The sequence below is a fragment of the Homo sapiens genome, chromosome 19 (assembly GCF_000001405.40).
Source record: "Homo sapiens chromosome 19, GRCh38.p14 Primary Assembly".
NCBI lineage: Eukaryota > Metazoa > Chordata > Mammalia > Primates > Hominidae > Homo > Homo sapiens.
Genome location: NC_000019.10, coordinates 30547099 through 30563765, shown reverse-complemented (window position 1 = coordinate 30563765; position 16667 = coordinate 30547099). Strand labels below are relative to the sequence as shown.

The window sequence follows — 16667 nt, the reverse complement described above, 5'->3', positions numbered from 1 at the left end:
GATGTGAGGTCAGCCTGCCTGGCAAACCCCAGTCCCATCACCCACCTCACACAACAGCTCCTGTTGCAAAACCCACTGTCACGAAAGAAAACTGGGAACTTCACAAAACCACCCCAACATGACATCCAGGTGTTTAACCTGTGCAAATTAGAGGTGATCATTCACTTTGCAGCGGCATTTACCTCAAAGGCTTCAAGAACATTCCCTTTGTGATTTAAAATTAAATTACTGGGTATCATTTAGAAAGGACAGTTGTAGAGCCCAAAGTCTTAATGAAACCCAAAAACCACTGATACAAGAATCTGGGCCACCGATTGGCCACGAGAGATGATTTTTAAAAATTTCCTAATGGTAAATACTTTTTACCACTAGAAAACAGTGAAAACAGCTCAGTTGGAGCCAATGGGGGTGTGTCTGTCCATCGCAAGAATGGGCTTGTTGAATTATCATATAGGTTCCCCAACAGACCTCCAGATGTGTTCACCCCAGGGATGGGAAGAATCCCAGATGGGCCATCCAGAAAGAGACCTTCCAGCGGTGAGTACAAATTGGCAAGGATGAGGGTGGGGCACCATGATTTATAATAACCTGCCCAGATTCTCCAGCCACTCAGCGGGGTTTTAGCGGGTTCTCGGTCTTCATCGAAGCTCTGCCTGGAGCCTACATGGCTGCAGAAAGCCTAAAATAATTGAAATGAGGGTGACTCGACAACCTCCAAGTTCTTCATATTCACTTTATTCTCTTAAGGGATACACGAGTGCCTCATTTGATGGGTGATAACACTGAGGCAATTGGATTAAGAAATGCCTATGACAAGATATCCAATTGAAAGCAAAAAGCTTTCCCATGTAGAGACAGAGCATACTGTTCCAAACTACCCCGGGCTTGCAAGCTCAGAGTGATTTTGAGTGACCAAGGGAATTCTCAGGATGGAAAAGTGGGATGGTCACAGGCACAGAAGGAAGTGAATGTGAACTGCTTCCGTGCCCCGTGAGTGCAAGATGAGAGCCTGAGCCCGTATCTCTCGGTGCCTGGGTTCCCACCCTCTAAGTGTGATGGATACATGTATTGAAAGAAAGCAGGAGGCACTTTTATCCAAAAGGGAACTCCTGGATTCACACACTGGTATCTGTAAAGCACTCAAAGATAACCTGATCATCATAAAAAATACAGTCTTCTCAAGCTCAACTGTGAGCTCGACAGGTTGAAAAATAAAAGAGAAAAAAGTCAGATAATCAGGTTTTTCTTGCATTTCCATGAGCTGAAAATCCAGTTTCATTGATCTCCTTTCTTTTCTTTTCTTTTGCTATTTTAACAGACTTCCACAATTAAAAGAAAATCCTCAATGGTCTTCTTCTAATTTAACAGAAATATCTTCAGGATAAGGCAAGTTTCATATGCCCGTGCACTGGAATGGCAGATGGCCTTGCCCAAATAGAAAGCCTGCATGCTCTTATGCTTGTGGGAAACCAGAACATATCCCAGGGGCCCTACTGGTATGGGGACTCCAGGACTGACAGGGTCCGGAGGAGTCATCTGAAAAGTGAGGACTGGAAAAGGGTGGTGGAGACTATAGAGTTTAAGACCTAAGAGGGTCCGGAGCAGACATCTGGAATGCTCCCTCCTTTGGCTGAGAGGAAAATGGTGCCCAAAGAGGACACGTGAGTTATCTAAGCTCCTTGGAACATGATTGCTTCAAGGTCTCCCCCAGACCAGCCCGCCAGTCTTTCCTCCAGTAACCTGGCCCCTAAGCTGAGAGGCCATGCACTTCCCTCTCCACAGGAGCCATGACCTGCACATCTGTTCTCATCTGTGGCTCTGGTAGGTCTGCGACTTTCTACTGGGTACCCAAGAGGGTGTTCTCACTTGAAGCAGATACTGTTGGTTCCTCATTCCTTCCCTTCTGATTATCTGATTATCTGGCAATACCAATGGCCTCTTGCTTCATTCTGCCTGAGGGCTTTCTCTCACTATGGGAAGAATGGTTGGCCATCAGGTGGGCTGGAGGGACCCTCAGCTGCTGGGAGAGGAAAAGCTGGTGTGTAAATACCCCGGCTCCTTCAATCCTTGAAGAGACTGTTCCAAGAGGAGCTCCACGTAGTACCTTAGAGGACCCCCAAAGGGGCTGAGCCCCCATGGTCCTGCAGTACTGACCCTCTCATGAGTGCACCTGTGCTTGTTGATTTACCTGCCTTCTCTGTCTCCCTTCCCTGCTCCCTCACTCATGCTTCCTGGGTCACCTCCCATATCTACTGCCTGCATCCAGGTCCTTACCTCAGGATCTGCTCTAGGGAGACCCAACTAGGTCACCAAGGAAGTCTTAGGGGATTGAGAGGACTAACGACCCCTCTACTTGACAAGAAAGAGCTAATCCTAGTGTGAGTCCCTAATTATCCACTGGGGCCACTGTGCACCTCAGCAAAACCACCTTCAGCCCTTCCCCAGGTGCAGGGCACACCTTGGAGTGGCCTGTCCTCGTGGTCAACCCCAGCTCTCTTCCCAGTAGAGACAAATCCCAACTCAAGAAAAAAGCAACTTGTCCATCATATAAAAAGAGCAATAATTTGGTAAATTAATTGCAAATTTGCTTTCCCCGCTTGGTTGCCTTTCTCCTTTTATGTGGATAATTGAGAGCATATTATGTTAATTTGACAACAACAGAAGTTCAAAAAGAAAACTTAACCTTGTGAGCAGTGAGTTACCATTAGATGGGTGTGTCTGGACAACTCCACAAAGAACATGAAAGACAAACCCCTCGTGAAGCCAGCCAATGTCTGGATGCACAAATGGCTATTTTTGCTAATGAAATAGCTGTGCAGAGTTCCCCAACTTTAACCTTGAAAATGCGCATCCCTTGCTCCAGAGGCAGAATCTGCTTACGCAGAGACAATATTGCCAATGCACTGCTGCCGATTTGGGGATGTAATTTAATCATCGCGAAGTTTCTTTGAGAAAAAGTGACTATACTTATGGAATAATCATCTCCCAACATTTAGATTCTTTTTCTCCAACCAGAATATCTACAATCTCATCAAAGCAAACACACTTCCGAACATGTGTAAATAGAAAAGTGGATCTGAAGACTCTCTTACTGCAAGGCACTCTGCCCTTCCTTGGCCTCTCTCATCTTAAGTCACAGATGTCTCCTTGGAACTCTGCTCCATATACAATGGGGCGGGGGGGTGGTCTCTTATCCAGACCAGGGTGTTCGTGTTAGGAAGGGTCCAGGTCTCAGGCTGAGGGTAGATCCAATGGATGATGTTTACATTTGCTTCAGGTCTGAATTCAAACAGGTGGGGTTTGTTATAATCCCACATGTGGATGGGTGGTGGCTTGGGGGAAGGTGGGCTTGTTATATTTCCACATGGGGATGGATGGTGGTTTACAGGGGAGGTGGGCTTGTTATATATCCACGTAGGGATGGATGATGGTTTATGGGGGAGGTGGGCTTGTTATATTCCCATGTGGGGATGGATGGTGGTATATGGGGATGGTGGGCTTGTTATAATCCCACTTGGGGATGGAAGGTGGCTTAGGGGGAAGGAACACACAGGAAACAGAATTCCTGACCCCCTTGCAGAGCTGTAAAATGAAGTTGGCTCATTCCACAGAACTGAATCCACCCAGCTCCCCGGCAGGCAGAAGACGGGATATTCCCAAGAACACGCAACTGTTGAGAAGGAAGTTGTTAACCAGGGATGGGGATGATGAGGAGGAGGTGGATGGGAAGCAGGGGGAGTGTACGGCGTGAGTGCCCTGAAATGAGAAGATGGGGAGCAGGACGGAGCTGGCTTCATAAAAGCAGGAGAATGAGAATCCACAAAGGCCCCCTCTAAGCTTGAGAAGTTTCCACCGGGGAGCAACTCAGGAAATACCCCCTGCTTTAGAAACGGAAATGCTTCCGAGTCTTCCAGCTTGGAGATCCCGTTAGGGGGATTGGGCCCCCATGGAAAGGAAGAGAGAACAGCAGACGCCTGAATACACGGCTCCAGGGAGCCTTCCAGGCTGTCAATGCAAAGGGCTGGGAAGATCCGTTCCCTTCAGCAGCCTCTCCCTCACTGGCTTTGCACTCCCTCTGCCTCCAAAGCCCAGCCCCCCACATGCCATCTATACCCCTCTGGGCCCCATCCCAGGAGGACTGGCAAAACCCACAGGTGCTATGGTGCCCCAGGTTTGCAGGAAGTGGGCAGCGGGGTGTACATGACCGGCAACGCCAGGAACAGTGTGCTCAGCCCTGGACAGAGGCCCCGAGAAAAAGGCTTGGAGGAATTTTTCCCTCGATGTGCACCCCATTCCCCTTGGGGCAGGTCCTTAGACTCAGGGGACATTGCAAATAAAGAAAAACCTCTCCTGGGGCCCTACTTCTTGTACAGGCTTGGCCTATATACACTGGCAGTGGAAACTGGCCCTGCCTAAATGTGGCCACACAGACCTGGGGCCTGGAGGTTAGGGTCATTCACTTTACCTTTGCTAGGCATTTAGGGATCCATCACAGTTTCCAAAGGAACCCATGGTATGTGCTCCCAGCTTCATATGAAGGGAATCAGGCAACAGTCGTGGGCACTGACCACCAGGAAATCTGACAACCTTCTTCACAATCGACATTTTCTCTTTGAAGCTTTTATCGTGTCTTCTCAGACTCCGAATCTCTCACTTTTTACCTCTTTCCCAAAATAAAAGACAACCTAATGCCATACTGTGGTCTTTGGAGTCAGAGTCACTTGAAAAGGTTTTATGAGAAATACCGGAAGAAATGTTTCAACCAGCTAGGGTGATGCAATTGTCCTGTTGCGGAGGCCAGGGTTGTTCAATGAGCATTTCTGGGTTTCCATTCCCTTGTTACACAGAGGACACTTTATTTATTTGGGGTTGTGAAGAACGGACTTGGAGCTTGAGATTGTGTCCTATGAGATTGTGTCCTACCCCCAGTCCCCCAAAAGGACCAGTTAGACAAGGGCTCAGGGATGGTCATTGAATTTAGAAATTTACAAAACACATCCAAGCAAAGAAGCTTGGAAACACCGTTGAAATGGCAGGACCCTCAAGTCCAGCTCACGGACCACAAAACCAAGCAACACAAGCAAAAAGCAAAATCGGTTCTTCCCACACCTCTCTCCCCACCAGGAGGCAAAGTGGAACAACAGGCAAAAGCCTGTTACAGCAAACACAAGTACAGTCCGAAAAGGTCAGCAGAACATAAAGATTCCCACCTCCGCGAATCCTGAGTCTCTTCATTACAAACTACCCCTTCGCAGGATGAAAAGAACATGTTCAGATTTGCTGAAGGGAGGCTGGGTGTCAGCGTTTCCACATCTGGGATGGGGCATGATGGCCGGCATACTCCGTGCCCAAGTACCCTCCACCCCCACCACCCCAGCCACAGTTCCTCTGGGCGGTTGTGGGGTCTAGACACCTAAAAGTCACTTGTACAGAGAAACGGGCCCGTGTCGCCTGGCTCTCCCCCACCCCCCACAGTCATCCACCCAAATTGGAAGGTCCTTTTCCACTTGCATGTTTATGAATTGTTACTCACAGGGCCCACCTAAGAGTGGATAGAAAAATGCAATGATCTGCCCCGGCAAACAGCCCAAGAAGCAGGGTCAATGGCATTCCCTGAATGTCCTGTTGAGGCTTCCAACAGTGAGAAGAATGTCGGGGTGAGGGGGATGTTGCGGAATGAATTAACATAATGACTCCAAACTGCACTAATGTTTCACAGCTTTTTTTTTTTATTAGCAATACCAAGATAAGTTATTGAAGCATTTTTAGTATTATTTTACATTCCATTCATAAATGACCTAACTTGTAACTCAGCATACAGCACACTTAAAGATATAGTTTGACACTTATTCAGAAAGCTACAATTATTATAACTTACATGCCTTCATTACCAGGAACACCTTAATATATCTTCTAATTACTTCAACAATACTCTGTTCCAAAGCACACGATCACCCCGTACAAGTTTACATATTTTGCTTCAATCACCATTTTTAAGTTGTAGATGTCAAGGTGCTATTCACTGAAATTTTACTGTCATCTGCTCCTGGTTAATAGGACGACCTGACACAATATTAAACTAGCAATATTTCTGCTTAAATACTATGGAGAAAGAGAATTACTGCACTTTTCTGTATTCTTCTAAAGTGTTACAAAATACAGGACAATCAGACACAAGCAGTAATACCCACGAGACCACTGCAGGACCCACCTCTACATGCTCAGGTGAGCTGGTGGAACAGCCCCCCACCCCCAGCCAGGTTGTCCACAGGTGAAGGGATCTGTCATCCAGCAGCAGTTGTCACTCAGGATTTATGACTTTGAGGGAGTTTTCTCTCCTGCTCAAGTTACTAAGCCTTTGCAATCCATGACTAATACTGGAACATATGGGGTAATATTTTTAGCCTCTGATTCTCTGCTATATATACTGTAGATTGGTGCACCGTGTGTATACACATACCTATGCCAATAGTAATTATTCAACACACATATGTGTATACATTCTTCTCTTGACTTTACACGATTAACAAGCTGCAGATAACCACCGAGGACCACGAACAGACAAGGGCAAGTCCAGATAGACCGACTAGGACAGGGAGTGTCACTTACCTGCAAGAAAATGTGCAGATTTATTAAATAATCCAGAAACCATCAGGGCTAGAGGCATTTGAAAGCAAGGGCAGGGCCACATCCCCTAATCGTTTAATGGAATAATGACAATAAAGTGTTATTTATAAAATTTGGTCCTTCTGTCTCTGGCTAAAGCAAGAATAGTCAACATGATTAGGGCAGGTTGGCAATTAGACGTAGAGGTGCTGTTGATCAGCACTAAGTAATAGGAGATAATTACTGCTTATTTGAACCCTGGGCTTTGCACACAACATCCGAAACCAAAGAGGTTGATTGCCCTCTCCTCTCACCTAGACTTGGTCCTGAGCAGTAGGATTCATGCAGTCTGAAGAGAATATGGACATAGCAACTAAAATTAATGCTACCAGACTTCTCTCCTGATTCAGAGGCCCTGTTGATTCAGCCAGTAGCTTTTGGAGCCAAAAATATGCAGCAAAAGGAAAGGAACATAAACAAGGCTAAATGTCACCAGTGTTTGCCGACTTACAGACACCATCCATTTGTTTGTTCTGAAATGACGAGTGGACCATTTGGCAAATACAATGGTATTCACACAACAGTTCTGTCATCCTGCAGTGCAAACGACATCACGTCAGTGGCATTCCCATTTAATTTAAAAAGAGGGAAGGAGAACAGGAGAAGAATGCCTTTGGAATATGGAGAGAGCTGCCATCCAGAGAGGCTGCCTCTCCATCAGACACAGTGCACACAGCAGGGCTCAGGATGAGGGCTGGGGAGAGCCCACTCCAGGTGCTGATTTCTGCAAGAGATCCTAGGGGACATCGCCTGTGTTTGTCCCTCCAGAGTCAAACAGAAAAGCTCTGCAGCAGGTTGTGAGGCAGCCAGCAGGGGCAGAACAGGGCGGTGATTTGCATTAACTCACAAGGTTCTGCCCTTGGACTTCAAGGCAGGCCAAATGGTCCTCCCTCCTGGGGTCTAATGTCAGGCCCCGGACACACAGTACAAATGAGAGCAGGCCAGACCATAGAGGTCAATAGCTAATCTGTAAATTATCCAATTGGGCAAAGGAGGTGAATGCAAAGGTGTGCTTTATCCATAGTCTCTGAGGCCAATCCATGTGAGAATCAGCTCACAAAAAAGAGAAGGAAGAGGTATGAGAGCACATTTGTCTTTGAATAAAGTAAGGCAGCAACAGAGACAAAAAGATCTTGCAGTGGAGATGCCCCAGGTCTCCCACACCCTCAAGCCAATTGCCTTCTTGTGCTGGCTGGGTACAGCCTGCACTCCCACACACTCGGCAGATTGGGATTTTGTGGTTGTCTTCCTATGCCATTTTCCTACCTTCACCTCCCTTCTTCATTAGAACCTGCTGGCTTCTGGGCCACACTGTAGACTCTTGCACAAGATGAAAAATGTACCAATGGCCATAGCCTGTGTATCACAGCCTATACTCAGGGTGTCTGCACATATGCGGCCCTCACTGTGTATTTCATACCCCAGCCATGGCTTCCTTCCAAGTCTCTAATTGACTGCAGACCTTTGCCGTTTCTTGGTCAAAGACTGAGGCAGGGCAGGACTCATTTCCTACCCCCAAGCACTTGCCTGGTATCAGGAAGAGAATGGAGTGGACACAGAAATAGTGTAACCATTGGGATGGGAGGTCATCACAAAATTGCCAGAATCATCTTCAAAGCAAACTTCTCCACATACCAAGAAAGAGCTATCAACCATGCATCACGGCAGAAGTGAGGAAATGAAACGTGCCTCTCTAACACTGATGGAGGTAAGGTTGATGCCTGCCGTGCTTAAGGGACGATTGTGACCCGAAGATGTTTGCACACTGACATCATTTCCTTGCAACAGTTTCACGTGGATGCTGAGCTCCACGACGTCATGCAAACTCAACTGAGAAGCACTGATCCAAGCTCTTTTATCTCTATCATCTATTTCATCCCTACGCTTCCTTCCATCAGTGAGGAAACAGGCTTTCACAGAGCAAGCTTGCATCAGAGACAACACACAGCCACTGCCCGCTTCCTCTTCTGTGTGTGCTGGCTATGAGGGGGCAGCTCTGGGTTGCACTGTGCTGGGGTGTTCTCCTGGAAGTCTTTAATGCATAGACAGAGGTGTGGCTTCCCAGAAACAAGGCATCGGCCCATCTGGGTCAACAAGTCCTCTACCACTGTAAAGTCTCTCTCACATCTCTGGCTTTGGCATTACCAGACAATGGATGGGGCCCTGCCACTGATGATGAGGGGTCTCCCATCACCATCTCACTGTCCAGCAGAATAACAGAGGACCAGTGTTTGCACCACTCATTCCCTAGGGATGACCACGGGAACACATCCCTCTTTACACCAGAGCAGGGGTTGACCAAATAAGACCCTGTGGGCCAATTCCAGTGCATCGCCTGTCAGTACCTAAAGTTGTAATAGAACGCAACCACAGCCATCATTTTCCTATTGTCTATGGTAGCTGTGGTGCTACTTCCAAAGCGGAGTTGGGTGGTCGCCACAGACACCCCATGGCCTGTGAGCCAACACTTTTATTCTCTGGCCCTTTAAGAAAATATTTGCTGCCTGTTGCTTTAGACTGAGTAGCTCGTAAAAGGGTAGGTATTGGCCAGGCGCGGTGGCTCATGCCTATAATCCCAGCACTTTGGGAGGCTGAGGTGGGCGGATCACCTGAGGTCAGAAGTTCAAGACCAGCCTGACCAACATGATGAAACCCTGTCTCTACTAAAAATACAAAATTAGCCAGGTGTGGTGGCGTGCACCTGTAATCCCAGCTACTTGGGAGACAGGCAGGAGAATCGCTTGAACCCAGGAGACGGAAGTTGCCGTGAGCCGAGATCGCACACTGCACTCCAGCCCAGGCAACAGAGCAAAACTCCATCTCCAAAAAAAAAAAAAAAAAAAAAAAAGTAGGTATTCTCCGACTGCCTATGCCAAGAAATCTATAAGGCTTAGGGAAAAGATAAGTCACATTTTAAGAGAGTTCAGCTTTGGTTGTCCTGGTTCATCTCATCACACATAAAAATATGTAATTTGAATAGGTTTCAATGGACCCGAATTCTTGGGAGGGGGGGGGGTCCCAATTATTTCACTAATGTGGAAGCCCAGAAGACCTTTATTCCATAGTCTCAGGTATAATTTGGGTTGGGGAAGCCAGTTGCCCAATAACCTGAGGATGATAAGCTGGGGATGTTAGGATGACTGCTGTTAATGGGCTTGCATTCTCCCTCACTTCCTCCCAGGCCCACTGGGTCACTAGGTCTGGTAGCCACTGCACATAGGGCCTCGTGCCCACAATCAACTTGCTGATATTTATTTCATGTTTATTTTACAGAAGGGGTTTCACTCTGTCACCCAGGCTCGAGTGCAATGTCATGATCCTAGCTCACAGTGGCCTTGAACTCCTGGGCTTATGCAACGCCCCTGCCTCAGCCTCCCAGAGTGCTGGGATTACAGGTGTGAGCCGCAGTGCCTGCCCTCAGCCTGCTTACAGATGCTACCAGTTCAGCCAGCCTTCCCTGAGTGGCAGTCACTACAGAGCAGAGCTCCTTGGGGCAAAGGGGAGTGTGCTCTTTTCCCTGCTTTCCCGTTCATCTGTCATTCATTCTTCTCTGTCCTGCCTACCCCTGGGTCCACCAAAGGACACAGTGCAAAGCCTGACTGGGAGACCTGGCACACAACAACTCCACACCCTGGCCATCTCTCTTAGGTTTGAAAGGCAAGGAGTAAGGGTGATCTGGTTGCTGTCCAAATCCACAAACTCCCAGATGAAACACACTTTTTAACCGTTCCATGCAGTGGGCCCCATGGGTGCTGTGCAGACCAGCCTTGGTGCTGTGTGCACAGGGAAGCCTGCCCCTTCCCAGCCAAGTGCCGACCCAACAGTGCATTAGCATTTCTCAGACTAGACTGGGCTTATCTGCCTTGCTTTGTCCATGGATGCAAACACTGCTCTGGTCTTCCCCTCTCCACCTTTAAATACTCATGTGGAGTCTATCCCATTACAAAACCAAGGTCAAACATTCCAATAAAACCAAGGGCATATCCAAATTCTCCGATGGCACTGGAGTACCCTTGTACATTATGCTCTTTGACAGAATAAAGACATGTGACCCATGCCTGGAGACTGGAAGTCACCTCAAGAAACTAAGGATTTGATTGGAGTGGGATTTCCTATAATGAGATCAGACCCCTAGTGGGATCTGACCCACTGTGGAAGCAAAGATGCCTGTCCTCTGGCTTAATCCAAGATGGCTTAACCTCTTCCTTGGGATTATTGTAATATGTCTCTGACAGGCCGTGTGCTGTCCTCTGTGGAAAGAGCTTTAGAAAATTCCCACTGAAGCTCTCGACACTGTCATATGCAACAGGCGTCTCCCCACCCAACTGGCTGGGTCGGCTTCTCCCCTCGGTGGCTCTCCTTCTGCACCAGAGTTAGGAATCCATTGGCTGTTAGGATGGGCAGGGCACACTGGCCAGGACCCTGGCTCTATGGCACCAAGGAATTTAGGACCAGAGTTTTAAAAGTTAGGAAGAAGGCATGCAGAAATGATGGAAGATCCTGAAAGTACAGCCTGCAATATGAGTATCACCCACAGAATAGGGTGAGATGCCACCTTCTCCAAATCAACAGCAAGGGTTGGAGGAGCTGCTGAGATCTGTGGGGAGTTTATATGATTTGAACTAGGTATTTCTGATGCTTGTTCAAACACTTTTACACCCCTTGAGAACAGAGCCCTTCCTTAAGAAACATGGGAACATTAGCTCCTCCTATAAGCCTGTTTCTATAATCATGAAAGTGGGGATTTAGGTCTACTAACCAGACAAAACCAGCCCTCAACTTTATCCATCTGAGATGAGAAATCTAGGAATGATGCTTTGGTCTGACAAAGCCCAGATTCTTAAGGAGAAATAGTGATCAGCCTGGTAGGCGGATTTAGAAACCCATACCTACTTTGAGTGAAGAAGAGAAGGAGGAATAAACATTAGAAATATTTTATTCATTGTGCTAATATCACTTCTACCCTTGCAAAGGGAAGCTAGTGGGGGTTTGAAGCTTACAAATGTCACTTGTGCTTCTTGCCATGCTAAAAAGAGAGTGAATTACACTATTTAAGAAAAAAAAAACAGCCCATTTGGATTTGTGTTCCTCCTAGGTTGTAACTTTTAGAAAGGATGAATATGTCTGGACCTTCTGGGATATCACAGTAGCCCGCAAGAAAATAAGAAGAGGACTGCAATTATGGTGGGCCAGATATGGGGGGAGTGGGATGAGAACTGGCAGAGTCAGGCCCATCCTAGAGGCAAGAGGGCAGTGGCCCCACCCCCAAGCAAATGCAAGAGCCAGGGAGGGTCTTTTCCTGCCTACTTCCAAACTAAAGCAAGAGGACACAGAAGAAATGGGGCCAAATGGAATGCAGAACTCACACTCTCTAAAAATAGGCAGCTCGTGGCCAGAGTCAATTTCAGCATCTTCCCAGGAGTGGAAGGCGGAACAAGGGGCCTGAACCCTCTGCTGCAGAAGCAACCAGGAAGCCTTCAAGCTTGGCTGACATGAGGGTCCCCAAGCCCCATGAAAGAGGCGAGGGGTGGGGGGCACAACTTACATCCCAGGATCTGCTGCCCAAAGGCTGAAGGGTGGACTGGGCAACACGGTTTGCACATAGCGGGGAAATGTCAGGGACGTGTCGTGTGCTGCTGTTTTGGGAAAAGGTGAGAAGTTCCTAGGAGCTTGCAGCCCAGAGATAAAAGGCTCTCAAGACCCGGCAGGCTCCCTGACGTTGGCTTCCCATTCAACCTCGCCTGGTGCGAAAGGATACCACTGGGCAAACTTCCTCGAGCCAGGCAGCCTTCCTTCATTACTGATAGGAAGATGGGAAAATTAATAGGGGTAATATGAGCTCATTTCAATAATAATGAGCTCATGAACATGCCAGGTTTTGATCTTTTCTGATGCATGGATTCCTGGCAGGGACTATGGTCCTACGTAGGTAGTTGAAAGAACTGAAAATAGACTTAAAAAAAAAAAAGACTCTAAACAACAATAAAAAAGAAACCACCCCGATCACAAACCTAAAACAACAATGAAAAAAAGAAAAAAAAGCCTTCAACATTGCTCCCCCAGTTTAAAAAAAAAAGGGGAAAAAATTTGGACTAACATAAAACGCTTTTTTCCCTTCTTTTAAATATTGTTTTTAACAGCTTCAAAAGTAATGAATTGTATGTGGCTAAAAATAGATCTGGGGGTAGTGGTTAATGGGGCCTTGTGAATCATTCAGCATAAGGAACTGTCAATATTTTTTTGAGCTGTCAGAAATCCATTTAGTGATTTTCGACAATTCAAAAAAATATTTCTGACCGCTTGATTCAGTTCCTAGTGAATTAGGGAAGAAGAGGAATAAAAGAAATATATCAATCTAAATTATGAACCCAGAGTCTAGCTTCCTGAATTCTTCTCTGTGCTTAAACGAACAACAGGATGTTGAGGTTCAAAAATACTCTCTTCTATTTCCCCCCCTTCCTTCCCTTTTCTTTCCTTCCCTTCCCTTCCTTCCTTCCTTCTTTCCATCCTGCCCTCCTCCCTTCCTGCCTTCCTGCCTTCCTGCCTTCCTTCCACAGGTGAAGTAAAATTACAGAAATCCATTCATAAATTACAGTTGGAAATGTATCATGGTCATTTGTCTCTGGTGAGGATATTTGGAGCTGGTTTCAAAGGGAAGAATGCATGGAGCTTCTTTTCGGAGAAAGGCTTCCAAATACAGATATCAGGGTGCCAAGACAATGACTTTGATTCCCCCTGCCCACCCAAACATTCATTTGATCCAAACCTAGTCCTTAAACTTACAATGATGTTCGGAAATCTGGAATTCCTTTGGGGTACCCATATGCTTTAAGGAGATAAAGAAGTGTCAGTTTGCTACAGGATCAGACAAGCATGAATCCAAGATGCACAGGGTCACACCACTACTGTTCAGGGACTTCACAATGTACATGTCTTGTTAGAGCAACAGACAGACAGGTGAACAGACAGACAAACAGAAGGCAAGCGCAGAAGGCCAAAGTCACAGTAACTGCCATTTGGTTTGTCTAAAAATGAGTCACAAACACCCAGAAACCATCTCCCTCTTTGGAGAGAAGGTCGCTTTATTTCCATACTGTTGTTAGTGTGATATGATTTTAGTATCCTCTAAGTCAATAAAAGAAAAGTTTAAGAAAGCAGATTTGGCTTAGCAAAGCAGTAAGGAATTGTCTTTAGGCATCTTTTGCATAAATTGAAAATACTGAAGAATTTGCAAGTTACCATGTCTCTTTTCATTTTTGTTTTGTAAGTCGATTTTCCCCCCTTCAAGTTCTAGATGGCAAACAGGAGTAGTTCACATGGTGAGCGACCACCCCCTTTTCCATGCCTTCTGTACAGGCATTTTAGTACATTATAATGCAAATTAGAACACAAAAGTATGAGTTCTAAAACTTCTAAACAAAATGGACTTTTATGATTGTCTACATTGCAGATACAGCATTGAGGGTTTTTTCAAATATTTCATTCAAAAGTTGCTCATGGATAAGTCTACCTCATTTTTTTAAATGCACAATTCAGCACTGATGTTTTGGGAAATGAACTATAGGAAGAGGATTCTAAAACTTACCACACAAGTCTGGCCTCTTGATACATCCAGAATTTGCTGTGCTACTTGCAAGTCCGTTAAAGGCTGCTAAGCCATCAGAACTGTAGGCCCTGAGGACCGACAGCATGTTCATCGGCTTGTCCAGGCTCTGGGGCCCCCGCTCCGGCTTTGGCAGGCCCGCCAAGGGGTCCTGGGCTTGGAGAAGACCCTGGCTGTGCCACTGCTTCTCCGGTGCTTGGGATAAAGGTGAGACCAGTCCCTGGACGGGCTGGGAGGTGCCTGTGGGCTGCAGGCTGTCCCCGCCATCGCTGCTGCTGTCTTTGCTGAGGGCAGACAGTGGCTTGGTCATCATTTCCGGTTCGGTTTCAACATCCTCTTCATCGTTGTTCTCCCCCTTGGAGGAGTCCATGTCCTCTGAGGAGGCAATGTCAGAGAGGTCATCAGTAGTGTTCTTACTCGTGGTTTCGGGGATCAGGATGGGGACATCCTCTTCAGAGTGGGCCTTTCCATCAGGCTCCTTGTTGGGGCAGGAACTGGAGGCCCCTGAGCCAACCATGCCTGGGTAAACACCAAACTGCTTGTAGAAGTCTGATGGGAAGTTACAAAATGCAGGGTCCACGTGGCCGGTCCATGCACCGCTCTTCTGCTCTCCCAGAGTCTCCTTGAGCTGACCTTGGGCCATCTTCTCAGAAGCAGAGTCTAGAGAGCTGATCATATTGGAGAGGCCCAGGTCTTTGTTTGATTGTAACGAGGGCAGCAGGGCCATCTTACTCGCCTCCCGGGCTTGGTCTTTGCAGTTGACTGTGACCCCGATGGTGTTATCTTTGCGTTTCGCTTTGCCCAGGTGGTTGGCCTGGAGATGAAGGGCCATGAGCTCCATGGAGGACGTTGTGAAAGCACAAAACAAGCAGCCGTGCCATGCAATGCTGTCCTGCACAGTTACCGAGGAGCCCGGGAGGGAGGCGGCATCTGGCCGCACAGACAAGTCCAGGGGTTCATACTGAGATTTCTCGGACTTCCTCTGGGAGGACTTGCCACTGGGTTTCTCCTCACCACCATCCACTCCGTGGACTTTCATGGAAGGGGGGTCAGCCAGGGCTTTGTCCTTCATGTCCTTCTCCTTCTTCAAGGAACTGAGGACAAAACTGTCCATGAAAGCTTGCAAGGACCCTTGGAAATTCACACCGTTGCTCACAATGCTTTGATAAGCTCTTCCGATCTCAGAGAAGTGGGTGCTTTTGGAAGGAAGGTCAGTGCCTTTCAGAGCATCTGAGGGGACCTCCGAAGACATGCCCGTGGCCTGCCCCGAGTGATCTCCAGAGGAGAGAACCCCTGATGTCCACTGCTGAGATGCAGGGCCTCCTCTGAAGTCGATTCCAGGGAGACCCTTGAAGGCCCCCCTCAGGATGTCTGGCCTGATGAACAGAGAAGCTTTGCTTGACATCTCATCCTTGTGGTCTTGATTTGGGGGTTGCCCAGACAGCGGCCCAGCCCCGTTCTGCCGCTCCCGATGGTGTCGCTCTAAGTGGTATTTTAAGGATGCTGACTGCGTGCCGGCATAGTCACAGTGCGGACACTTGTAGGGTTTCTCACCTGCAAGATTTTGATATAAGAAAAAAAAGAGGCGTTTATCTCATTTTGGTGTGCTGAACGAGGCTGGAAGGATCAACATTTGTTCTTTGAAACAAAGCAGCTCAAACTAATAATTAGAGAACAACTGTTTTTTAATAGAAGAATAATTCGTACTCTTAAGCTTTTTTAATGATTTTGTACCATTTGGGACTATTCAGGAATGACATACTATCTACACACAATTAGCTATCTTTTTCTTTATCTAACATGTGAAAACGGCTGTAGATTTAAAAGCTATGATTATGAAAATTAAGCATAATAATTTCAGCCACAGTGATCATTAAAAGTAGAAGTTTAAAAAGAGAAAGTATGTAACAAATGGGTGGTTGCAATATTTTGTGTATACAATAGATCTAAAATTTGTTTAAATTATACACATGGAAACCATTTTTAAACCTAAAAATTTTATGGCACTGTTACGCAAGACTGAAATGAATGATTTAAGTCTTGCTCTGCAGTAAATCATGGATATAATTAGCAAATGGCATACTGCACAAGTAATTTATCATTATTTGGAGGGCACCATTCCAGACGGGCTCAGATATCTGCAGACCTACTGCACTGTTTCTAAATAAAGAACTATAAATACATATTCTATAAAATATTAATACCATTACAGTGCATTATGATTGCAGCATGTAAAGACATATAGTTAAGATAAAAAGCAGTCAATAAAACTTAAAAGAAAATGAGTAATAAAAAGGCACAAAATATATTTAGTTTCTGTATTTGAAATTAACATTATCTACTGGTCTTTGTAGTGCCTTAAATTTGTACTAATGGCAAACCTAATGCTCCGGTAGTA

At 46.5% G+C, this 16667-nt stretch overlaps 1 protein-coding gene across 47 annotated transcripts in view, besides 2 other annotated features; it reads right to left on the bottom strand.

Moving 5' to 3' along the window:
- Nucleotides 1-16667, bottom strand: part of ZNF536 (zinc finger protein 536) — a 487995-nt gene that overhangs the window by 149821 nt on the left and 321507 nt on the right. For 31 of the 47 annotated variants that reach the window (XM_047439770.1, XM_011527554.3, XM_047439763.1 and 28 more), the window contains one exon: nucleotides 14252-15823. In XM_047439770.1, the coding sequence (XP_047295726.1) occupies nucleotides 14252-15823 (1572 nt within the window). Of the gene's footprint in view, nucleotides 1-5706; nucleotides 15824-16667 lie in introns of those variants that run through there. The other 16 variants (XM_047439779.1, XM_047439781.1, XM_047439775.1 and 13 more) reach the window with 2 other exon arrangements.
- Nucleotides 10061-10562: an enhancer, noted in NCBI's record as "H3K27ac hESC enhancer chr19:31044111-31044612 (GRCh37/hg19 assembly coordinates)". NCBI's record gives its function as "activates a minimal SCP1, AML or CMV promoter by ChIP-STARR-seq in naive H9 embryonic stem cells {active_cell/tissue: H9 hESC(naive)}" and the evidence as "EXISTENCE:reporter gene assay evidence [ECO:0000049][PMID:30033119]".
- Nucleotides 11732-12232: an enhancer, noted in NCBI's record as "H3K4me1 hESC enhancer chr19:31042441-31042941 (GRCh37/hg19 assembly coordinates)". NCBI's record gives its function as "activates a minimal SCP1, AML or CMV promoter by ChIP-STARR-seq in primed H9 embryonic stem cells {active_cell/tissue: H9 hESC(primed)}" and the evidence as "EXISTENCE:reporter gene assay evidence [ECO:0000049][PMID:30033119]".